The sequence below is a fragment of the Homo sapiens genome, chromosome 13 (assembly GCF_000001405.40).
Source record: "Homo sapiens chromosome 13, GRCh38.p14 Primary Assembly".
Taxonomy (NCBI): Eukaryota; Metazoa; Chordata; class Mammalia; order Primates; family Hominidae; genus Homo; species Homo sapiens.
In genome coordinates, this window is record NC_000013.11 from 20,430,130 (window position 1) to 20,455,651 (window position 25,522).

Below are 25,522 nucleotides of genomic sequence, written 5' to 3' on the forward strand. Positions count from 1 at the left end.
GAGGACCTGAAGTTTCTAGAGCTGCCTTGGGCCCCACTACCTGTAGATAATCCTTATTTTTAGAAACAAATTATCTTCTAGACTTTCACCAAGGTAATTCTTTGGGTTTTACTCACATTTTCTTAATTTCCCATTTCTCTTGACCTCTTCCTGTTCTGTCACAAACTGTATCCTGCTAGATTTTGGCACTCAGTTCCTTACAGGGACTCCAGGCATCTGAGTCCCACAGCAGCCAACACAGAGACATATGCAGGCTTCACTTTCTCAGGAGGTATGTCACCACAGAAAGCCAGGAGTAAGAATGTTCCCGCTAGCCAGTAACACAATGTCACTCAGGCTGCCATGACCCATGAAGAGGGACAACCAAAAGCAGGGTGGACATCGTGAGTCAGCAGAACTACCAGAGCAGCCCAACTCACCCCTCCGCCTGCCCTCCTCCAGCAGCAAAAGGAAACACCAGAGTCCTCCATGGCTCTTGCAATGGAGAGTTCTTTGTGTACACCTCCCACCCGATCCCCTTACACCAGAATCCCAAACCCTTCCTTGAGTGGGCTCACACCTTTCATATTGGAGAAAGCAAGAGTTTACTCAGGGCGCTAAAATATCTTACAAATAAAAAGCTGAGATTGCCTGTAAAACCCCACAAGGTTTAATTCAACAAGTGAACATGGGCAAGGAGTCTAAAGTTGTTCCCCTTTTCTAGACAAATGGAAATATTTTAAATAAATCTCCAAAAAGGTTCTGATAGATCCGTGTTTCTTTAAAAATACCTTGACACTGACTGATATTCAAGAAATTACTAAGAAATTCAAACCGCCGCCCTAACAGTGGAAACCCGAGCACTGTTTCTTGAAAATACAGGAGCCTTAAGTGGATTTAGACATCAAGACACAGAATCGAGGCAACCGCGTGGCAAATGCACCCGGCAGTCCAGTCAGACAATGTACCTAACGGGGATTTGGCCCAACAAGAGAAGCAGGCCGCGGGAGGCCACATCTGTGATGCACACCTGCCTGGTTTGGAAGAACTGCTGGGAAATTGAAATGCAACACTCAAGGAAGCTGGGGCACAGTCAGCTTCCTGGTTGCCATCTCAGGCAAGGCTCGGTGTGTGTCCATGCGAGTCCAAACAAGGAACTGTGGAGCCAGGTGCAGATGACTCGAGCCCGAGCAGCGTCCTCCCTACGCGGTGCAGCTGGGTACTTCCGGCCCTTGAGCCTTCCACAATGTTTTTGCAACACAGGCGTGGGCAGAGTCTTGCCTTCCCCCTGCAGAAGCTGGGCAAGTGCCATAAGGGAGGCCGGACAGTTCCACTCCCAGATCCCGAGACTTCTCCGCCTCGTCCTGGGGTCCAGCTGACCTATCTCCTCCAGGCACCACGGCCCCTCATGCAAATGTACACGAGAATGCGTGCAGCCAGGCCATTTCTTCACCTCCATGTAAAATCCTTTCATTAGAGGATGATGTTAAATATATTTACATATCATTTCCTCTTTATAGGTAAGACAAGCATTTACTCTAACAAGTCTATTCATCACTTCTTCCTCAAGCTCTTGAAACAATTAGGTTCCTTCAGGAGACAGAAGTTTACACAAAATATAATTTTTTTCCTTTTGAAAAATTATAACACTGAGGGGTAAAAGCTGCCTCTGTGGGAAAATGCAGTGGGCCACATAGGTTATTATGTCTAATGCTATGAAAGGGCAGGAAGGAGAGAAGCCTGTCATCGTGTCCTGGTATCAGGTGACTGTAAGAAGAACCTCTCAGGCAGACAGTGAATCGCTGCATTTTATTTTGGTTCTAAAGCTGGCCCTTGGTCTCCAGAATAGAGCAAGAAGAAGCAAGCAGCCTCTGACTTTCCCAGCTTCCAGGCTGCCCAAGGAACAACTTTCACTGTCCTGCTCAACTTTGAGAGGGAGGGAAGAAGGAGGGAGAAAGGAAGGGAGGGAGGGAGAGAGGACGGGCACACACACCTCCACTAGCCGCCAGGCCTCGCTGATGATTGCATATTGCAGGCGGTTCAGAACGAAGCCGGCCACCTCCTTCTGGACTCGCATGGGGCACTGTCCAATCTTCTTCATCAGGGCGTGGGTTCTGTCCACTGTCGTAGGGGCCGTCTCCGGGTGGGGGACCAGCTCAACCAGCGGGATGTAGTATGGCGGATTCACCTTAGGAGAGAGAGAGAAGTGGGGGAGTCAAGGAGATGATCCTGGGTTTGGGGAACTGCACCCACCCTGAATGGTCAGGAGCAGCAGATGCATCTTTGGAATGGTGCCTTTAGATTCAGTGGCCAACAACAAGATACTTGAGAAAGAAATTTATTCACAAAGGAGAGAGAAAAAGGGAACCTGATGCAGAATTGTGTGGTTTTGTTTAAAAAAAAATACCCAAAATACAAAGTTGGAATTTGGAGGAACAGCTTGCTATCCTGTATGTTTATGGCTAATCTTCAAGCCCCTGGCCTCCCCAGGACAGAGTTTCTCTGCTCCCATCTGTCTTGTCTTCAAAGCTTCCTCCCAGCCCACCACCCCCCAGAATCATGTCTTCCCATCTGCAGTCACCACAGGCTCTGACATTCTTCTGTGTCAGTGTTAAAAATTATTGGCAAGCTGGGTGCGGTGGCTCACACCTGTAATCCCAGAACTTTGGGAGGTCGAGGTGGAGGGATCACTTGAGCCCAGGAGTTCAAGACCAGCCTAGGCAACACAGCGAGACCCTGTTTCTACAAAAAATAAAAAAATTAGCTAGGTGTGGTGTTGTGTACCTGTAGTCCCAGCTACTTGGAAGGCTGAAGTGGGAGAATCATTTAAGCCCAGGAAGTGGAGGCTGCAGTGAGCCATGATTGTGCCATTGTACTCCAGCCTAGGTGACAGTGCCAGATCATCTCAAAAATAAATTATTAGCAGTGTCTTCCCAAAACCTGGTATTTCCTTAATTCCTCCATATTGTACCTTAAGTGTCTGCCTCTTCCAGTCTAATGTCACCTTCCTGCTCTAGAAATCAACAGGCATCAACACACCTCAGCAGCCCCAGCACCCCGACGAGCCCAACACAGGAAGGCATTGTCCAGGTGAGCATGCCCCAAGGGAGGACCCTGGACTTCACTGTTCAACTCTGGTGTTCTTGGTTTACTTTGAGAAACTGTTCTTAGAGATTCCTCACAGAGAGTTATCAAATGTCCAAAGAAAACAGTGCCTGGTAGAACCTGACTGGCCTGAGCACTGAGCCAAGTATACCACAGCAAACAGAAATGATGCTTTTCAATGGGTTTTCCTCCACTACATGGGTGATAGGTAGAATGTCACATTTGCTAAGTGATGCTTCCATGAGCAGAAGCTTCCATTTAAAGATGACTCCCACAGAAGAGGAAAGGAGAAATAAGGGCCATCCTGGGCACCTGCTCTGCCCTCTCAGGAATCAAGAAAAGACGGCTCCTGTTTCCAAATAGACAGATGGTAAATCGATGCCTCGGTTAAACACCTGTCACCTACTGAATTCTTATAGAAACGCTTAACCTCTGACCTTTTGAAAAATGAAGATTAGAAGAACTGGAAGTGTGTCTTTCTCAGATGAATTTTACCTTATTTTATATAAAGCAGGCATGCTGGGATTGGGGTCTTTCAAACATTGTAAGCCTCACTGGTAGCAAAAACAGACTGAGACAAGGAGTTAGAAAGCATTTCTATGTACAACTCACCAGTTCCCTCCTCTCAGTCTTCTCTGCGATTTTTCCTGCTCACACTTTCACTGAGTGATGGTGACCCCCAGTCTGCCACAGTGGCCCATCTGTGCCCACTCCCTGGTGTCACCACCACCAAGACTTGAGGACACAGAATACACCTGCATGTCTCACACAGATCCCAGCCTCACCCTGGCCCACATCTGCAACTGAGTGCTGGACGCCTTCCCTTGGGCACACCCCAGCACAGACTTGTCTCATGTGGGTTATCCCCATGGTCCCCAACCCTGGCAGGCTCCTGATCTCAGTGAGAATGTGTCACATCCCCACACCCAAGTCAGTACCAGGAGAAATGTTCCTGGCCCCTGCCTCTCCCTAGCCCCTCTCACTTTCCATTGAGAGGTGAGGCCAGCTGGACTCCCTGGGTCAAGTGTGAACTTGGGGAGCTTTTCTGTCTTACAAAAGGATTGTAAAATGCACCAATCAGGAACTTTCCTGTCTTACAAGAGGATTGTAAAATACACCAATCAGCACTCTGTAAAACGCACCAATCAGTGCTCTGTAAAACACATCAATCGGGGCTCTGTAAAACGCACCAATCAGCACTCTGCAAAACGCACCAATCAGCGCTCTGTAAAATGCACCAATCAGCAGGATTCTAAAAGTAGCTAATCGGGGGAAGGATTGAAAAAAGGGAACTCTGATAGGACAGAAATGGAACAGGGGAGGGGCCAATTAGGGAAAAAAAGCTGGTCACTCCCCCCACCCACCCCTACCGCCCACCCACACCCACACGCGCCCCCCCACCCACACCCCTACACCCCCACCTGCAGCGTTAACCCACTCCGCTGTCTTTCCCTGCTGTGGAAGCTTTGTCCTTTTGCTCTTCACAATAAACCTTGCTACCACTTACTCTTTGGGTCCGTGCTATCCTTAAGAGCTGTTAACAATCACCACCAAGTCTGTGGTTCACGAAGTCAGCAAGACCACAACCCACCAAGACCAACTCCGGACACACCATCAGTTACTGAAGTCCTGTTACTTCTCTTTACTCTTCTCTCAAAAAAATCATTGCCACTGCCACCCTCAGCTCAGGGCCCCCGTTTCCATATATATTCTGCACTCCCTTCATGGGACTCCTGCTGGGGTCTCAGCCCCTCTATCTCATCCTCCCAGAGCAATCCGTGTTGTAGCGGGAGCCTATCAAATCCACAGCAGCAGCAGAAAGCTAGGTTCAGGTGCCGCGGCTGGGGTGGAGCTGTGGAAAGTTAGTGTTTCATGGGTAGGAGGTTCAGTCTTATAAGAGGAGAAAGTTCCATGGATTGTTGGTGGTGGTGGCTGCACACCAGTGAGAATGTCCTTAATGCCTCCAAACTGCACACTTACAAATAGTTAAGACGGTAGATTTTGTTATGTATATTTTACCACAATTATACATTTTAAAAGTAAAAAACAGGACTTTGATCATGCCTTCTCCAACGAAAAATCTTGAAGGGCTGCCCAGCGCCCACTGTACAAGGCACACGGCTGACTAGGACGCAGGGGCCAGCGACTGGGCCCCACGCAGCCCCCCAAAACAGACTTCCATTCACACCGACTTCCATCCACACCTCCGTGTCCACCTACGGAAGCCGCCGCAAAAGGACCTTCGAGGTCTCCCGGCTGGGAAACAGTCTCCCTAACCACAGCCCTCAGCCTCTGGCCCAAGAGGTCAATCTTGTCAATAAGGTCGGGTGCCCCTTGAATTTACCACAGTAGAGGGGAGGAGAGGAGGCGAGACAGGAGAGGAGGCAGCTCCCCCGCCCCAAACCTTCCATGTGGGAGTGTGCGAGGTGGACTCGGAAACACGCCCCCGAAAGGGTTCGACAGATACAACGGCAGCGCAGCGCAGGGGCCTGGGCCTGCGCAGGCCGGCGGAGCACAAGGGACGCATTCTTCCCCGCCGCCCGGGCCCCATGTGACCGCGCCGACAGCGCGGCTGCCCACAGAGACTCCCTTCACCCCCGCTCCGGGAGCAACCAAAACGGCGAGGCCCACAGGGCCGACAGCGCCCTCGCGGGAGGCAGCCGGGCTGGGGCCTCTTGCCAGCCCTCGGTGTTCGATGCTTCATGGGTAGCCCATCCTCTCGGCGGCGCGCTCGCAGGGAGGGCTCAAAGGCAGCTCGGAGCGGCCGCAGGGCCGTGCAGATGTGCAAAGAGACGCACAGAGCACGGGCGCTTTGCAGACAGCAAGCCCATACATCCAATATTTACCACCAATACCAGGGCAGATGACTTCGGTGTGAGACGTGAGGTGAGTTCGAAAAGGCCACGCACAAGCAAGGGGCGGGGGAGCGGGCTAACTGGTGGCCTCTCCCCCAACGCCCACCGCACGCCCCAGTCTGCCAGCCGCGGCCCCCTTCCCAAGCAGGCCTGTCCATACAGCACAGTACTTGGTGGGCTCCGAAGACCCCACCAGCCCTGTCGGACCATCGCCTTCCCAGACTGAACTAAGGAAGAGAAAAAAGCAGGGAGCCTCTTTGTAAAGTGTGGCTAAACTATCAGTAGAAAACTGCCACTCTGTCAATGCTAACATAGAGCTCAGTAAGGACTGAGACTGCAGTGCAACATGCACACCGTTGTCACCCACAGGCCCCAGCCGTCACATTCTCCTCCCTCAGCCCCTCCACGTGGGAATTCGGGAGTCACTGCCACGAGGAGTTGAGGAAACAGCACAAAAGACACTGGAGAAGAAAATGTCCACAACAGAGCCGGGCCCAGCCTCTTCCTGGGCCTTCAGTGTGGCCGTCAGCAGCTCTAGTCCTGGAAGCCCACCCTAAAACCCAGCCTGAACTCCTGCGCTGGGAGTACGAGCCCGCCTGGCCAGCGCCTTTCCCCACTCACTGAGGGAACACGTGGCCGTGCAACGAGGGTTGCAGGCTTCTCTGTGTGGGCAGAGACAAGCAACCTTTCCAATTTGCTGAATATCCACTTTGGCACGGCATGAACAAGCCTCCTTTTTCTTCATCCTATTTTTGGCCCAGGCAGAAATCACTAATGATTGAAACAAAGGGCCCCAAGCAGGGACTGGGGGCTGCAGGGTGGGCTCCTAGCTGGCCTGGGGGTGCTTCTCGGAAACTGGTTCCTCAGAGATTACAAATGGGTCTTGATTCTGTAGGGACTGCCTGTCCAGTCCCCTAGAGGTCCCGTGGGGTGAGCAAGAGGTGGGGCCAGGTGTGGTGCCTTTGTCTTGTAATTCCATCACTTTGGGGAGGCTGAGACAGGAGGCTTGCTTGAGGCCAGAAGTTCAAGGCTGCAGTGAGCTTTGATGGCACCACTGCTCTCCAGCCTGGGTGAAAGAGCCACAGAGAAAGAATAAAAAAAGAGAGAGAGAGAGAGGTGGGCAGCTGGAACATAGAGGAAAGAAAGGGAAAGGTCCAAAGATGGCTAACTTGGGTTATTTGATTTGCTTTAATTAACATCGGTTTTGTTTAAAAATAATTTGTAACAATAAGGAAGATTAATTTTTTTTTTTTTTTTGAGATGGAGTCTCGCTCTGTCGCCCAGGCTGGAGTGCAGTGGCGCGATCTCGGCTCACTGCAAGCTCCACCTCCTGGGTTCACACCATTCTCCTGCCTCAGCCTCCCGAGTAGCTGGGACTACAGGCGACCGCCACCTCACCTGGCTAATTTTTTGTATTTTTAGTAGAGACGGGGTTTCACCGTGTTAGCCAGGATGGTTTCGATCTCCTGACCTCCTAATCCACCCACCTCGGCCTCCCAAAGGGGAAGATTAATTTTTAAAATAGGGTCTGGACTTTATGCTGTTTCATTAAATAAGTGAGCAATAGTGGGATGGAAAAAGAGTAGGAAGGAGGGAGAGAAGTGTCATTATTCAACAGTTACCAACTCCTGCTGGTCAAGGGACTGGGCTGGGTGTGAGGGAGAAGAAAGTGACTCAGGTGTCCTCTCACCCATCTGGCAATTTAAAATTAAAGAGATGCAGTAAACGTCTCGTCAAATAACTCAGGAGGTATTTTCTGAGCAACTTTATTTAGACTAGTTTTGTTTCAAACTAACTTAGAAGCAAGAACATGGGTTAGAAATTAGGAGGCTGACAGCTTCCACTGAAGCAATCAAGGAGCAACCTAGAAAGTGCTGAGGTCTCCAGGAGCCCTGTCCGTGGACATGTATATGTCACCAAAGCAAAGGCACGACAGGCTTCTCGGGACTTGCTTTCAATTAGGGTCCCTCGTAATGCTAATCTCACTCGTAATTGAGTGGTAACCAAATGTGACTGGTTCTCTTCTATTTTTATGCATCTCAGCCTCCTTATTTTATAACCATTCCTCATTCTTTCCATCGTATGTCCCAGGACCATGCAGCTATGTAAATGGTGGTCCAAGCTGCTGCTCTTCTTAGCACATAAAACCTGGTGGGCATCTACAGATCCGGTAGGAGTCTGTTACCTCCACATTCTAAATGGCTCTTGCTCAGAAAGAGGAATTGCCCTGCTCTCGATCCTAGGCCCTGCTCACTCATGCTTGGACTACTGCCCAAGTCCTGTGACATCATTGCTCCCCTCTCTGACCCGTCTTCATCCCAGGAAGGACCTTCATGTTACCCTCCCCAAGCAGCACTTCCACAACCTCACACTGCTGCTCTGGACCCAAGCTGTCTGTCCCAGCTCTTCAGAGTAACCCTCACGATTCTCCAGACCCAACTGTTACTAAGCCTTCCAGTGTTCTCCCATGGCTCCAAGGCATGTGTGCTCATGCCACCAGGCTGGCCTCCCACAATTCTGCACACCGAGCGTGTTCTTGGCCCAGGGTCTTTGCTTATGCTCTTCCCCAGCCTCAGACCCTCTCTTCCCTTCATCAGCCCAACTAGGTCCTAGCCAGGCTGGGCCCTCTGTGTTGCTTCTCCCTGATCCGAACCTCTGACAACCTGGTGGTGCCAAGGGTGTGGTCACTATTTTGTACTATTATATTTATCATAGCTTGAGCTAAGTCACCTTTCCCATTCTAACAGGCAGTCCTGGTCCTCCAAGGTCACACTGAGCTCGCAGTTGGGGCTCAAACGTCGTTCACTGAATCTCCTCTCTCATTCCCCTTTCCTCACTTCAATACATTAATCGCTGAAAGATTCCTTGAGTGCTTGCACGCCAATCTGAAACTCATTGTCCCAGGCACCTCATAATGTACTCCTGGCAAACAAGCTTGCATAGTTAATTACAATGAGTGAGTGGAAGGGAAACCACAAGGGGAAAAAGTCCTTGAAGTCAGACCTACAGTCAGAATCTCAGGAGCAGGACCCAGAATCTGCATTTTAACAAAACCAACCCTACTCTGAATTGTGTTGAGTAAACTACACAGTGCAAGTGACGTATCTATACAATCCTACCCAATGTATACATTTTTGATGTAGCACTTTTATATTGATAGTAGAATTATTTATTAGTCGGCCTCCTCAGCTACACAGTTACTTGGGGGTGAAGGCCTCAAAGCAGTCCTCACTCTATTCCGTTGCACATTAGGTACACAGATAAAAATCCAAGGAATTTTGGATAAAATTCTTTTTTAAAATACTAGTATTGTGCAACTCTGAATACAATAAGAACCACTGAACTGCACAATTTGAACTGGCAAATTGTGTAAGTGAATTATATCTCAATAAAGCCGTTTAAAAGACTAATGGATTACTCACAAGTTATTGACCCCCCTCCCCCGCAAAAAAAAAAAAAAAAGAAAAAAAAAAAACACAGAATGAGATGAGATACAATCAATCCTCTGGATTTAAAATACTCACAGGATGAGCCACGATGCATTGCTTCACATGGACCAAGCCAGCAAACAACTTGGAAGGCATGAGACAAGAAGTGGAACTGCTTAAGATCACTCGATCATCAATGATGGAATCTAACTGAGCAAAAATCTTCTTCTTCAGTTCTAGATCTTCTGGAACACATTCCTGAAAAGGACACGTTTAAATGACTATTCATGACCACTCGACTCAGGCCCCAAGCAAAGCATTTCATGTTTGTTTCATTCCTCAAATGAACCACTTTGAAAATGATGAGGTTCAAGACGTGTTATCCCAAAATATGGCAACTTGGCATCTGAGAAAACAGCGGAAGCAGGGAGGTCCCTCTGCCCTTCTGCTCTCTCCTCCCCTAAAGCAAGCCATAAAAGAATTTTCTGCCCTTCCCATGAAGCAGGGCATAAGACCCTCATTCCAGAGGTGCCCTCCCTACACCCAGAGAAAAACAATCTCCTTGTCTCTGAAGACACAGGGAAGAATCTGAACAAACAGGCCTTGCCAACTTCCCTCCAGTTTCATGCCAGCTAGATCGTACCCCTTTGTCCTGTCATACCTCTGAAAGACTGTCCATTCTTTATCAAACCTAAGCATAAAAATACAGAGGTTTCCCTGTGTCTTGGGGTCTACACTTTCTTATGAAGGCTGCTGTGTCATGTAAAACTTACAATAAATACATCTGTATGTTTCTCTCTTGTTCATCTGTCTTTTGTTATAGGGCCCTCAGCCATGAAACTTTCCGTAGGTGAAGAAAAGATTTTACTTGTTCTCCCTTACAAAAACCACCAGCAAGATTTAAGGATGAGAAAAGGCTGCTGGAAAATACGATAAATCTTGATAACTCTGGAAAGTTGGAAAGCGGGTGAGGAATATATGGGAGTTTCTTGTACTTTCTAATTTTGAATAGCCTGGAAATTCTCATAATAAAAAAGTCTGCCAACGATATGGGGGTGGATTCTACAAACAAAACACACAACAGCACCCCAGGCAAACTGTTAAAAACATCGGTAGCTATCATCAACATTTATTTTCCCTATCTGCTTTGACCATCAGATCAACAGATCTTTAAGGAAAAATCTCATCCTCGTGAAATGAACAAACACGTTACATCCATAATTCCCAAAAGGCTTCTTGAGAATCCATTTCTAATTGGAGGTCCTTTTGAAAAAGATCTCCATTTCCAAAAATCCAAAACTACATTAATCGGGGTAGGGGAGTGGGATAAAGATGCAAATTTGGATTAAATGCTGCAGATAACGACCGCTCTGAGATTCTAATTACAAAGCTAGAGTGAGAGTGAGATGACACCTTCAAACATCCAGCGCTGGTCCACAGGCGAGGTGTTCCCTGCCACATGAGGATGAAGAGGACACCGCCCTGCTGTGTGGATGGAAGCACACCAGGTGGAAGACGCAAGAGCTGCTCTGACACTTTGGAAATACTAGAGCTGTCCTTCCCCTCCTGACATCTGCACCTCTGGGATCACACCAGGGGTCACTCCTAACCAAGGTCTCTGCTCACCTAGGGGCAACAGGTGCTGTAGGGGAGGAGGTAGGGCCTCCCAACGTTCCCCAGTGACTTCAGGAGAATGACTCTCAGTGTGGTGCAATAACCACCCATTAGAATCAACGGCGTGTCTTGTTAAAAATGCAAATTATTGGGCTTCCATCCCGGACCTGCTGAATCAGAGTCTCTGGGGGTGGGTTCCAGGCATCTGCAGTTCTAACAAGCATCCCTGATGATTCCTGTTCCCACTAAAGTTTGGGAACCACTATTCTGAGGTGTGTGTCCAAAGCGGGGGTCCTTAATGCTCTCAGTGCAGTGTGCCACCAAATGCATCCTCAAGGGTTTCCTCTCCATCCCAGCTACTCAGGGATAAACAAGGTGCCCTGACGGGAAATGGGAAGTATATTAGCACTGCAGCCATCTCATGGTCTCTAACCACCTGACCAATTTCACTAAAATGTTAAATTTACACATCATATTAGGTCATGAATACAGTATAAACACGAGCAGATAACAAGAAATGTGCAAATGTGAAATTCAATGCTGAAGTACTGCTAGAAATTATATCAGAACCACCCTTCAAAAATAAATGTTTTCAAGTTTAATTGAATAATACTAATAGTTAATATCTAATATATTGAAATCAGCTGTGTAAATAGTGTGACATGAATTTTGCATCTATATCATCTACAAGATTTTTGAAGTTTTATTCTAAGGGTAGGGAGTCCATTTTGGATTTGTTTATGCTTTTCAAAAATATAATCAAACCATGTGAATCTTTTTAAAGAAACAAAAGTTCGCATGAGCACCACATCTCAAAGACAGAAAAAAAAAATCAGTCATTTAAGAACTGTAAAGCCCATTGTGTTAACTCCCCTTATCAAAAGGGGAAAAAGAGCTACAGTAGCTGGCTCATTGTATTGAGTCATTCCTGGATCAGTTAAGCCTGCAAGTTGGGTTAAGTTTAAATGGAGCCTTGTAGCAAAGCCAGAGACGAAGAATGATGCAGATCCTGTGTAAGCTAATAAAAGAGTCTCCATGAATAGCCTTATTGTAATCCTGTCATGCAGATTCTCCCTTGAAATTCTATGCCTTTCTTCAGATCATTTGATTATCAAAGAGGCAAGAAAACCTGAACCAGAGGAAACTCAAATCTGTTACAATTATGTAAGAGTTTTTAATGGCACATTTGCTTGAAGTTTTGTTGCTGTAGTTGTTGCTGTTTTTAAGAGTGACCCAATTGTGTTGGATGTGCTGGGCTGGGGTTATAAGGATGCTGTCCATGTCACAACTGAGTTTATTTCCTTGCTATTATTCATTCAGATACCCCTGGTCTGAAAAAGGGAGTCTGACAAATTTATCAGCACCTTCCTCACTTGCAGTTGGTTACAAAGCTCAGAGAAGCTGCAGTCATTCTCTTTGCCCTAAAGGGACTGGGAGGACAGGCAGGGAAGAATGTCAGTGAGACAGCTGAGAAGGCACCTGCACTCCCTCTCCAACCCAGAGAGATGCAACCCATGCACTCTCAACTCTGTCTTTCAGGGGCCCTTTCTAGAGACAGGCACCAAATGTGAAGCACTAGCAAAAATTCTACCACTACTAAAGGTAATCAGCTTGACTTTGCTTAATTAAAGGTTGACAGCATCTTTCAAAGCACTGACTTTTGTTTGTTTGGGTTTTGTTTGTTTTGAGGCAGGGGAGGGAGACACAACTCATGACAAATAATATTCTCATGCACAACCACCATCGGCATGCCCTGATTTTGACAAATAAAACTCTGGGGAGAGGTAAAGCACAATACAACTTCCTAGTTCTCACAACTGTTCTGTCAGAAGGATCACCCTCTTCCTTAGACTGATCACTGGCTCAGGCAGTATCAGCAGCTGACAGGTGAGGCAGAGTTTAGACACTGGTGTTTCCCTGCCTTTCCTGAAGGGAAGAAACGACATGATGCTATTCCAGGCATTACTTTTAGTGCTCTCTAACTTGTATTTTTAAAGTAAATCATTTATAAACTTCAGTGTTTTATGGTTAGTAAAAGTTACCTGTGTGGTTAATTCAACTCATTAGGGCCCTGATGTGGAAAACTGGCACAGCCCCAGCAAGTCTGCTAACTGGACCACTCCCAGGGGAAGGGTGTGCTGGGTAAGTACTCACTTCTGAAGTTTAGCCACTTGCTTATGCAACATACATTTTCCAAAACATACATTTTCATGGTGAAAAAAAAATTCTGTCAAGTTTGTTATTGTTGTTTTTAAATCCACCCAGGCATTTTATTATTTTTATTTTTTGTTTTTATTTTTTGAGATGGAGTCTCACTCTGTTGCCCAGGCTGGAGTACAATGGCATGATCTCAGCTCACTGCAACTTCCATCTCCTATGTCAAGCGAGTCTCCTGCCTCAGCCTTCCAAGTAGCTGGGACTACAGGCCTGCACCACCACACCCGGCTAATTTTTGTATTTTTAGTAGAGACAGGGCTTCATCATGTTGGCCAAGCTAGTCTCGAACTCCTGACCTCAGGTGATCTGCCCACCTCAGCCTCCCAAAGTGCTGGGATTACAGGTGTAAGCCACCACACCTGGCCAACCCAGGCATTTTAAATAGGCATCCTGTTGCTAGAAAATCTGTATTGGCTAGTGCAAGATATCTGGAAGCAGCTTTCAACGTGCTTTACAGAAAGAAAAAACAAATTAGAAGACTTCAATACTTAGAGTACTTTACATGCAAAGAAGATCTATTAGATAATTTTAAGAGGAAAAGACATGGTAAGAAAGGAAATATGAATTAGAATCCTACTGCAATCATAGCAAAAGGAAATCCACTCTCAGGCTGAAGATGGAGGCGTTCTACATTATAAACTCTGTTAGCACTAGTTACATCTCTGGCTTTAATCTGCCTAATTAACACCCCAGTTTCTCTTCACCATTTCTCCCAGGAGTACAATCTTTAAAATCTGTCAGATTAATAGACTGCTGTGACAACACTTTTTAGGAGGTGGACACCATAATTATTTACATTTTTAAAAAAAGAATCTTTTTGCTCTAGAATAAATAATGTGTTAAGTAAAAGGGGAAAGAGCACATCTATTTTCAACATTACAGGCAACTAACTGCACTATGCTCTAACCAGGAGCTTGTTTTTTCCTTAAAAATCAAAATAAAGGGTTTAATTTTTAATTAAATAAAAGCATATTACCAATCCTAAACAGTTCTGCCATAATTGAGAAGAAATTATACCCAATCGAGAGAGATCTTTCCAAAGTAAAAATCAGTGTAGACTGAGTTTAAGAATGTGACTTCCTGGGGCTTAGGTGTTCCAGTTACAAGGATTATTGTTGTTTGCTTTAAAGAGCAGTCCTTTCTCCAGGTGACCGCAGAGAACCCAGAGGGGGCCACCGTGGCACAGGCATCGGTTGCTGTCCTGATTATGTGTCCGTCCCATCCTCATTCCAATGATGTTTTTGTACCGTTTGTGAAATCATTTCTTTAGAATTGTGTTAAAATGCTTGACATGAAAAAATAATACAACTGAAAATATTCCATTTAATCCTGCAATTATATAGTTTTACTGCATTTCTAGTATTTCTCATAAGGAACAAGTGAGAGTTTTGAATACAAATGTTTTTGGGGATGGAGTCTTGCTCTATCACCCAGGCTGGAGTGCAGTGGTGCGATCTCGGCTCACTGCAACCTCTGCCTCTCAGGTTCAAGCGATTCTCCTGACTCAGCCTCCAGAGTAGCTGGGATTACAGGTGCGCAGCACCATGCTCAGCTAATTTTTTGTATTTTTAGTAGAGACGGGGTTTCAGCATGTTGGCCAGGCTGGTCTTGAACTCCTGACCTCAAGTGATCCACCCGCCTCAGCTTCCCAAAGTGCCAGAATTACAGGAGTGAGCCTGTAACAAATCCTTTTTTATTTTTAACAAAGTGCTGGGAATAGCACGAAACATAAAATTGGAGACCCTTTAAGTAAAGAGTGAGTTTTAAAGAAGAAAAATGGAACATAAAAAAGTTTATGTGAAGGACATCAGTAACTCACAGTAGCATTTTCATTTTTGAAAATTCAGGTTTATTTCCAAGATCCAGGTAGTGGGGAACCCAGAGATATAAGGCTTACACTTGGCACCACTTTTACCTATGAGGTAACTGTTTATTTCAAAAGCACAGACAAAATGGCTAAAATGACAAGCAGAGTTTTTAACATACTCAGAGTGCTGGGGGAAATGTTGGCATTCAGGGCCTGGTAACTGCCCCAGGCTTCCAGTTGGAACCCTCAAGGGCTATATCCCTTGAGCATCCCTTATACCAGGAATAATAGTAACAACAGACCAGTCTTCACAAGGACTGAAACTTGGTCTCAATTTATCTCAATCCACAATTAAGTTAGGGAGATATGCTCCTAGCCTACCTGCCTTCTAGTGAAGCTTCTCTGGAGCATGATAATATCAACCAGAGCCCTAGTTTTTCATAAGCAATGTCTCATACTCAAACAAATAGACAATATTAGGGAAGACCTGAATGAAAACCAAGAGAGAAAACAGACTTTAGAAATAGACCCTTAGGGCATTCACATAATGGTGGTATCAGACATAAATTGTGAAATAACTATAATTAAGATGTTTAAGAAACTAAAAGGATATTAAACAATTTCAGCATAAAGTAAAACTATGACAAAAATCAAATGGAAAGTCAACAACTAAATAATAAAAATTAGCTGGCTTATCATAAGAGAATCAAGGAATTTCCTGGCATGGTTGTTGGGTTTAACAATGGACAGATGTGTGGATATTATTAACCAGCCCAGTTGGTTCTGTCTTCAAGCTGGCTTCCTACAGATCTTTACCTAGCCAAGAATACCGCTTAAATTAATGCAATGGTGAGACACACATAACTATACACTAAGCTGCTTTAAAGCTAAGCACAGTATACAAGATTAGAATGGGCACTACTTTACTTATTTTAAAACCCAAAATAGTTTTCAGTAGATTTTTTTTAATTATTTATTTTTTATTTATTTATTTTGTAACAGAGTCCTGCCCTGTCGCCCAGGCTGGAGTGCAGTGGCACAATCTTGGCTCACAGCAACCTCCATCTCCCAGGTTCAAATGATTCTCCTGCCTCAACCTCCCGAGTAGCTAGGATTATAGGCCTGTGCCACCATGCCTGGCTAATTTTTGTATTTTTAGTAGAGACGGGTTTTTGCCATGTTGGCCAGGCTGTTCTCAAACTCCTGACCTCAGGTGATCCACCTGCCTTGGTCTCCCAAAGTGCTGGGATTACAGGCATGAGCCACTGCACCTGGCTAAAAATTATATAGTGGACTAGTTTGAATGACATACATAGCTGGGTAAAAAAAGGAAAAGGCCCCCACTGATTGGTACTCTGACTGTCCTTGCATGCTTTTGAATGAAGAGGGATTATTCTTTGTTGAGGGATTGAGCCTTCCCCATTGAGCAGAATGGGAGAACTAGCCAGACCAGAGAATCAGCTGATGACCAATAGGGTGACAAAAGCTGCTGTCAGCTCATTCTCACACCTAGGCTCTCCATTCTTAAAATAGGACTTATCTCCCTTTTAATTTAAGACCTGTGACTCACCTCTAGAATTTTTTTTGTTTTTTAAATCAAGAAGGACTGCAATTTTGTTAATCTCGAGGCTCTAATTATGCCTGTTGGTAGAGTGTGTGTTTTTATTAATGACTTACCAAGATGATTTTTGCATTGACTAGAGCCTTTAATTTGGGGATAGTGCTTCAGAGACACTTCAAAATCTTCATTGTGGCTACTAAGAACTGAAAAAGAAAAGAGCCCTTCATTTGTGGTGAAACCACTTTATAATCTAGTTGGAATTTTTTGTTAGCAATTATTTAAGTTTATACATATGCCAGAAAGATTTAACCAGCAGCTGAAATGTTCTAGTCCATGCTGCAACAGCTTTTGGAGCTGCACACAGATTAACAGAATTACTTCTGGCACAGGGCAACTGACAGGCAATCCTACCAGTAGATGATGAGGCTCACTGATTTCCCAATCCACTTAGGACTACTATCATAAATTTCTTAAAGTTCAAATGTCCACAGGAAAAATCTAAGGGAAATAATCAGGACCAACAGAGTTTCTTTGTGACATCAAGAGCAACCCAACATCTGATTCATTCAATATATGATACAAATACAGTTTAATTCACTGAAGTGACTAGAGACAATAGCACACAAACTCCCATTATTGAAAACTCATAGTATTTGGGGAAAGAGAACAGAAATAAAAACCTTTATCCCTGGGGGAGAGGCAGGAAAAGATGCTGCTCCCCCTCGCCCCTACCCCAGGGAGAGCCAGGAGCACTGAGTAGGTCCGACCCCCAAGTTGCAGGGACACAGTGCCTCCTACTACTAAATCAGAGCCCTTCCACCACCCCCCCTCCCTAGGCTGACAAGTATTAGGTAAAAAGTAACAGAATAATACTTCTGGGAGAGAGACAGAATGAGAACATGGAAAGAGATCCTCTATGAGGGAAGTGCAAAGGGAAAACTGAAAGCTAAAGGTGGAGCAAGTACTAAGGAGGAAAAAAAACCCCACAAAACCCTCTGGCCAACCAGTCCTCATCTTAAATACAAGGCATTACTAGAGGAACTTGAAACCTTTAATGCACTAAGGATAACCATAACAACTGCAAACCTTATACCTTGCTCAATTCCCAACTAAATTAATTCAAATGCCCACAATGAAAGCAGAGCAGAAGAAAATGCTTGCCAATTCACAGACATAAAAACTGTTTGCCTCAGTATCTACTCTCCTATTCAGGTATCTGACTTTCAAAAACAAAAAATCACGAGGTATACAAAAAAGCAGGAGAAAAACAACACACACCCGAGAAAGTGATCTTTCAAAAGATCTATATGACTCTGATATTGGAAAAATCTGACAGTAAATTTAAAATAGCTATGATTAATATCTAATGAAAACTCTAGACAACATGCAACATCGTATGGGTAATTTCAGCAGAGAATCAAAGAGAATGCTAAAACTGAAAAACAAAGTAACAGAGATGAAGAATGTCTTTGGTTCATCAGTAGACTCAACACAGCTGAGGAAAGAATCTTTGAACTTAAAGGCTAGTCAACGGAAATCAGACAAAATGAAAAACAAAGAGCAAGGAGACTGAGAATAATAAACAGAGCATCCAAGACTTCCAGTGAAAGTATCAAATAATCTAACATATGTGTAATTGGGACCTCAGAAGTAAAAGAAACGGAATAGGACAGAAGAAAAATTAAAAGAAATGATAGCTAAGAATATTCCAAAACTAATGAGAGTAACCAAATTCCATATCCAAGAAGGTCAGAGAACACAAAGCAGAATATACACCTCTCCCTTCCAAAAAGTTTCTAGGTACCTAGGTATACCATATTCAAATTGCTGAAAACAGAAGACAAAGAGAAATATTGAAAGCAGTAAGAGGAAAAAGTCACATTATATACATAAAAGCAGAGGTAAGGTTTAATACAGACCTTTTGTTAGAGTTAATGCAAGATAGAAGACAATGCAATGACATTTTTTAAGTGCTGAAAGAAAAAAAACTATCAACTTAGAATTCTATACCCAGCAAAAATGTCTTTCACAAATGGAGCAGAAATTAAAACTATTCTGAGAGAAACAACTTATGGAATTCATTTTCAGCAGACCTAATCAATCTACAATAATTTTTAAAAGAAAGTCTTCAGGTAGAAGAAAACGTGATATCAGACAGAAAATTGGATCTACACAAAGAAATAAAGAATACACTGGGCGTGGTGGCTCATGCCTATAATCCTACCACTTTGGGAGGCCAAGGCAGGCAGATCACCTGAGGTCAGGGGTTCGAGACCAGCCTGGCCAACATGGTGAAACCCTGTCTCTATGAAAAATACAAAACTTAGCCAGGCATAGTGGCACATTCCTGTAATCCCAGCTACTCAGGAGGCTGAGGCAGGAGAATCACTTGAACCCAGGAGGTGGAGGTTGCAGTGAGCCAAGATTGAGCCACTGCACTCCAGCTTGGGTGACAGAGTGAGACTCACACTAGAAATGAAATAATTGAAGGTAAAATAAATGTTTTCCTGTTTTCAATTGCTCTAAAACATACCAAAATACTCAAAGCAAAAATAGCAGCAATGCATTGTAAATGCACATGTAAAAGTAAAGGGACAACAATGGCACAAAGAATGTGAAGCAGTCTAATATTAGAAGGTGGCCTCTGATTAACTAAAGATGTATGCTTTAAATCCTATGGTTATTACTAAAGTTTTAAAAAAGATGTATAAATAATGAATCAATAGTGAAGATAAAATAGAACCATAAAAATGTTCCATTAACACAAAAGCAGAAAAAAGAAATAAAGAGCAGATGGAACAAATAGAAAACAGCTGCTACATTTTTAGCCACCTGTATGAATAATCACATTAGATGTAAATGATTTAAACACATCAAATAGAAGACAGATTGGAAGTTCTAGCCAGAGCAATCCAGGAAGAAAAAAAAAAGGCATCCAAATAGGAAAAGAAGTAATCGAATTTATTCACTGATGATATTCTTCTATACCTAGAAAACCCTGAAGACTCCATCAAAAGGCTCCTGAAACTGATAAATGACTTCAATAAAGTTTCAAGATACAAAATCAATGTACAAAAATCAGCAGCATTTTTATACACCAATAATCTTCAAGCTGAGAGCCAAATTAAGGACACAATCCCATTTACAATAGCCACCAAAAACCTAAAATATCTAGGAATACTTCTAACCAAGGAGGTGAAAGATCTCTATAAGGAGAACTAAAAAACACTGCCACAAGAAATCACAGATAACACAAAAAAATGAAAAAGTATTCCATGCTTATGGATTGGAAGAATTAATATTGTTAACATGGCCATACTGCCCAAAACATCTACAGATTCAATGCTATCCCTACCAAACTATCAACATCATTTTTTACAGAACTTGAAAAAACTATTCTAAAATTCATATGGAACCAAAATCGAGCCTGAACAAAAATCCAGCCTAAGCAAAAAGAACAAAGCTGAAGGCATCATATTATCTGACTTCAAATTATACTATAAGGCTACAGTAACCAAACAGCATGATATTGATACAAAAACAGATGCACAGACCAACTGAACAGAATAAAGAACCCAGAAATAAAGCTTCATCCCTACAACGATTGGATCATCAACAAAGTCAACAAAAATAAGCAGTGAAGAAAGGACTCCTTATTCAATAAATGGTGCTGGGATAGCTGACTAGCCATATGCAGAAGAATGGAACTAAACACCTACCTTTCACCATATACAAAAATTAACTCAAGATAGACTAAAGATTTAAATATAAGACATAAAACTATGAGAATCCTAGAAAAAAAAACTAGGAAACACCATTCTGAACATTAGCCTTTGGAAAGAATTTATGACTAAGTCAGGAAACAACAGGTGCTGGAGAGGATGTGGGGAAATAGGAACACTTTTACACTGTTGGTGGGACTGTAAACTAGTTCAACCATTGTGGAAGACAGTGTGGCGATTCCTCAAGGATCTAGAACTAGAAATACCATTTGACCCAGCCATCCCATTACTGGATATATACCCAAAGGATTATAAATCATGCTGCTATCAAGACACATGCACACACATGTTCATTGTGGCACTATTCACAATAGCAAAGACTTGGAACCAACCCAAATGTCCATCAAGGATAGACTGGATTAAGAAAATGTGGCACATATACACCATGGAATACTATGCAGCCATAAAAAAGGATGAGTTCATGTCCTTTGTAGGGACATGGATGAAGCTGGAAACCATCATTCTCAGCAAACTATCGCAAGGACAGAAAACCAAACACTGCACATTATCACTCATAGATGAGAACTGAACAATGAGAACACTTGGACACAGGGTGGGGAACATCACACACCGGGCCTGTCGAGGGGTGGGGGGAGGGGGGAGGGATAGCATTAGGAGATATACCTAATGTAAACGACGAGTTAATGGGTGCAGCACACCAACATGGCACATGTATACATATGTAACAAACCTGCACGTTGTGCACATGTATCCTAGAACTTAAAGTATAATTTAAAAATAATAATAATTAAAAAAAGGAATTTATGACTAAGTCCTCAAAAGCAATTGCAACAGAAACAAAAACTGACAAGTGGGACCTAATTAAACTAAAGAGCTTCTGCATAGTAAAAGAAACTATCAACAGCGTAAAAAGACAACCTATGGATTGGGAGAAAATATTCACAAATTATTCATTCAACAAAGTTCTAATATTCAGAATCTATAAGGAACTTAAACAATTGAACAAGCAACAAACAAAAGAAAACATGAAAAATGAGCAAAAGACATGAACAGATACTTCTCAAAAGACATACAAATAGCCAACAAACATGAAAAAATGCTCACATCACTAATGATCAGAGAAATGCAAATCAAAACCACAATGAGATACCATCTCACACCAGTCAAAGTGGCTATTACTAAAGTTGAAAAACAACAGATGCTGGCAAGGCTGCAGAGAAAAGGGAATGCTCATACACTGTTGGTAGGAAAGTAAATCAGTTCAGCCACTGTGGAAAGCAGTCTGGAGATTTCTCAAAGAACTTAAAACAGATCTACAATTTGACCCAGCAATCCCATTACTGGGTATCCAAAAGAAAACAAATTGTTCTACCAGAAAGACAGATGCACTTGCACTTTCATCACAGTATTATTCATAATTGCAAAGACATGGAATCAACTTAGGTACCCATCAACACTGGACTGGATAAAGAAAATGTGGTACATATAGCCCATGGAGGACTACGCAGCTGTTGAAAAAAAAGAAGAAAATCACATCATTTACAGAAACATGGCTGCAGCTGGAGGCCACTATCCCAAGAGAATTAACACAGGAACAGAAAACCAAATACCACATGTCCTCACTTATAAGTGGGAGCTAAACACTGGGTACTCATGGACATAAAGATGGCAACCACAGATACCAGGGACTACTAGAAGAGGAAGGGAGAGGGAGAGAGTTGAAAAACTATTAGCTACTATGCTTACTACCTGGGTGACAGGATTAAACAAAAAGTAAAAAAGAGGCAGACCATCAGACCGAATTAAAAAAAAAAAAAAGCAAAACCCAACCCAACTCTAAACTATCTAGAAAAAAAAATCTACTTTAAATGTATGGACTTAGATAGGTCAAAAGTAAAAGAATGGAAAAATATTCCTTGCAAACACTAACTAAAGAAACCTGCTGTTGCTATATTAATATCTCAAAAAGTAGACCTAAGAAACAAGAAATGTTATCAGAGAAAAAGAAGGGCATTACAATACACTAAACGGGTCAATTTTCCAAGAAGATACAACAACTCTATGTGTTTATGCACCTAACAACAGAGCTACAAAATACATGAAGTTGTTGGGGTTGCAGAAGATCAAGAAGCAGAGTACAGAGGATTTTTAGGGCTGTGACAATACTGTGTATGATACTATATTGATGGATACATGTCAATATACATTTGTCAAAACCTATAGGATGCATAATACCAAAAGTGAACTCTAATATAAACTATGGACTTTGGGTGATTAATATGTGTCAATGTAGGTTCATCAACTGTAATAAATGTGCCATTCTGGTGGGAGTTGCTGATAATGGGGGAGGCTATACATGCGTAGGGGCAGAGGCTTTATGGGAAATCTCTGTCCCTTCTTCTTAATTTTCCTGTGGAACTAAAGCTGCTCTAAAAAAGTGTTATATTGGATTTAACATATTTTGGGTATTAAATACAATTTCTAAAATGTTTAAATTTAGATGAATTTTAAAATTAGTTTTTTCTAATTTCATAATGTAAAAACAGAATTGAAAGGAGAAATAAACAAATCCACGATTACTGCTGGAGACCTCAATAACTTTCTTTCTCAGAACAAGATTTAAAAATCAATAAGATTATAGCAGAGCTGAATAACATTATCAACCAACTTGATCTACTTGACATTCAGAGACCTCTCCACCCAAGAGTAGAATGCCTGACTTTTCCAAGTTCACATGTAATATTTACCAAGATAGATTATAGTCTGGCCATGAAACAAAACTTAAAAGAATAGAAATCAAACAAAGTATGTTCTCTGGCCATAATTGAATTGAAGTGGAAGTCTATGAGAAAAGAATATCTAGGAAATCCCCAAATATGTGGAAATTAACCAAGACACTTCCAAATAATCTACAGTCAAGGTGAAATTCTCATGGGAAATTAGAATATTTTGAAATATTTTGAATATTTTGAAATATTCTAATATATTTGAATATTTTGAAATATTCTAATATATTTGAATATTTTGAAAATGAAAACACAATATATTAAATCATTGGATTCAACTAAAGCAATGCTGAGAGGAAAATGTATAGCATTATATATTTACATTAATAAAGAAGAATATCTCAAATCGTTAATCCAACCCTCTATCTTCAGAAACTGAAAAAAAGCAAATTAAATACAAAGAAAGGAAGAAGAAAACAATAAAAGTAAAAGCAGAAATCAATGAAATTGAAAACAGAAAAACAACAGAAACAAATCAATGAAATCAAATCTGGTTTCTTAGGGAAAAAACAGTAACACTGACAAACTTCAAGGCAGACTGACCAATAAAAAGAGAGAAGACACAAATTGCCAATATGAAGAACGAAAGAGGGGACATCACTGCCAGTCCTATAGTCATTAAAAGAATAATAAAGCAATATTATGAATAATTATTTATGCCAAGAAATCCTACAACTTAGAACAAATGGACTGATTACTTGAAAGACACAAACTGCCAAAACTCACTTAAGAAATAATAGAAAACCTCATTAGTCTATTTATAGGAAAGTAATTAAATTTGTAGTTCAAAATCTATCAACACAGAAAACTCCAGGCCCAGGGTTTGCCACATTCAGCCAAACATTTAAAGAACTACTGCCAATCTTTACAATCTCTTTCAGAAAATAAAGAAGAAACATTTCCCAACTCATTCTATGAAGGCAGAATCACCGTAATATCAAAATATTAGACAAAGACATTACATGGGGAAAAAAAATCTATTCCAAACACATATGCAAAAAAAATCTCAACAAAAAAGGATAGTGCGTTATGACCAACTGGAGTTTATCCCAGGAATGCAAGACTGGTTCAACTTTTTAAAATCAATCAATGTCATTCATGATATAAACAGATTTAAAAAGAACAATTATGTGATCATCCCAATAGATGTAAAAAAAAAAATCAGTTCACAAAATTCAACCCCCATTCGTGTTTGTTTTTTTTTTTTTTTGAGATGGAGTCTTGCTCTTGTCGCCCAGGCTGGAGTGCAGTGGTGCGATCTCGGCTCACTGCAAGCTCCGCCTCTGAAGTTCACGCCATTCTTCTGCCTCAGCCTCCTGAGTAGCTGGGACTACACGCGCCTGCCACCACACCCGGCTAATTTTTTTCGTATTTTTAGTAGAGACGGGGTTTCACCGTGTTCGCCAGGATGGCCTCCATCTCCTGACCTCATGATCCACCCGCCTCGGCCTCCCAAAGTGCTGGGATTACAGGCGTGAGCCACCGCACCCGACCCATTCATGATATTTTTTAAAACTCTCAGCAATCTAGGAATAGATGGGAATCCCTTTAACATGATGAAAGGTAGCTATTATTCCTATGCTAACATCACACTTAATGGTGAAAAATTCAAGGCTTTCCTCCTTAACATTGGGAATAAGGCAAGCTGTCTCACTCTGTCGCCCAGGCTGGACAGATTCTATTCCGGAATAGAATTTTATTCCACATCATATTGATGTCCTAGCCAGTGCAATAAGGCAAGAGAAAGATATAAAAAGCATATAGATTGAAAATGAAACTGTCTCTATTCACATAAGACATAAATGCCTACATAGAAAATCCCAAAGAATCTATGAAGAAGTCCAAGGACTAGTGAGCTCAGCAAGATTGCAGGATACAGGTCAATATAAAAAAACTGTATTTCTACACAGTAGCAATTAATAATGGAAAATCAAAAAAAATGTTAAATACCATTCACAATAGCACACATACACAAGAATTACTTAGGCATAAATCTAAAAAAATGCCTTAAATATGCAGGAAACCATGAAATGCTGATGAAATAAGTCAAAGGAGGCCTACATAAAGTGGAGAGCTACACCATAATCATGAATTGGAAAACTCAAGCTACATCATAATCATGAATTGGAAAACTCAAGCTACACCATAATCATGAATTGGAAAACTCAAGTTATACCATAATCATGAATTGGAAAACTCAAGCTACATCATAATCATGAATTGGAAAACTCAAGCTATACCATAATCATGAATTGGAAAACTCAAGCTACACCATAATCATGAATTAGAAAACTCAAGCTACATCATAATCATGAATTGGAAAACTCAAGCTATACCATAATCATGAATTGGAAAACTCAAGCTATACCATAATCATGAATTGGAAAACTCAAGCTATACCATAATCATGAATTGGAAGACTCAATA

General features: G+C 42.4%; 1 protein-coding gene and 1 non-coding gene across 4 annotated transcripts in view; both read right to left on the reverse strand.

Annotated features, from left to right (window-relative positions):
- Positions 1-25,522, reverse strand: part of CRYL1 (crystallin lambda 1) — a 122,189-nt gene that overhangs the window by 26,461 nt on the left and 70,206 nt on the right. For 2 of the 3 annotated variants that reach the window (NM_015974.3, XM_005266416.6), the window contains exons 4-5: positions 9,464-9,625; positions 1,973-2,167 (exon numbers count right to left, since the gene is read on the reverse strand). In NM_015974.3, the coding sequence (NP_057058.2) occupies positions 1,973-2,167; positions 9,464-9,625 (357 nt within the window). The remainder of the gene's footprint in view (positions 1-1,972; positions 2,168-9,463; positions 9,626-25,522) is intronic. The other variant, NM_001363647.2, reaches the window with a different exon arrangement.
- MIR4499 (microRNA 4499) lies at positions 3,649-3,717 on the reverse strand. The gene has a single exon (NR_039721.1). It is a non-coding gene; the product is annotated as a microRNA 4499 (primary transcript).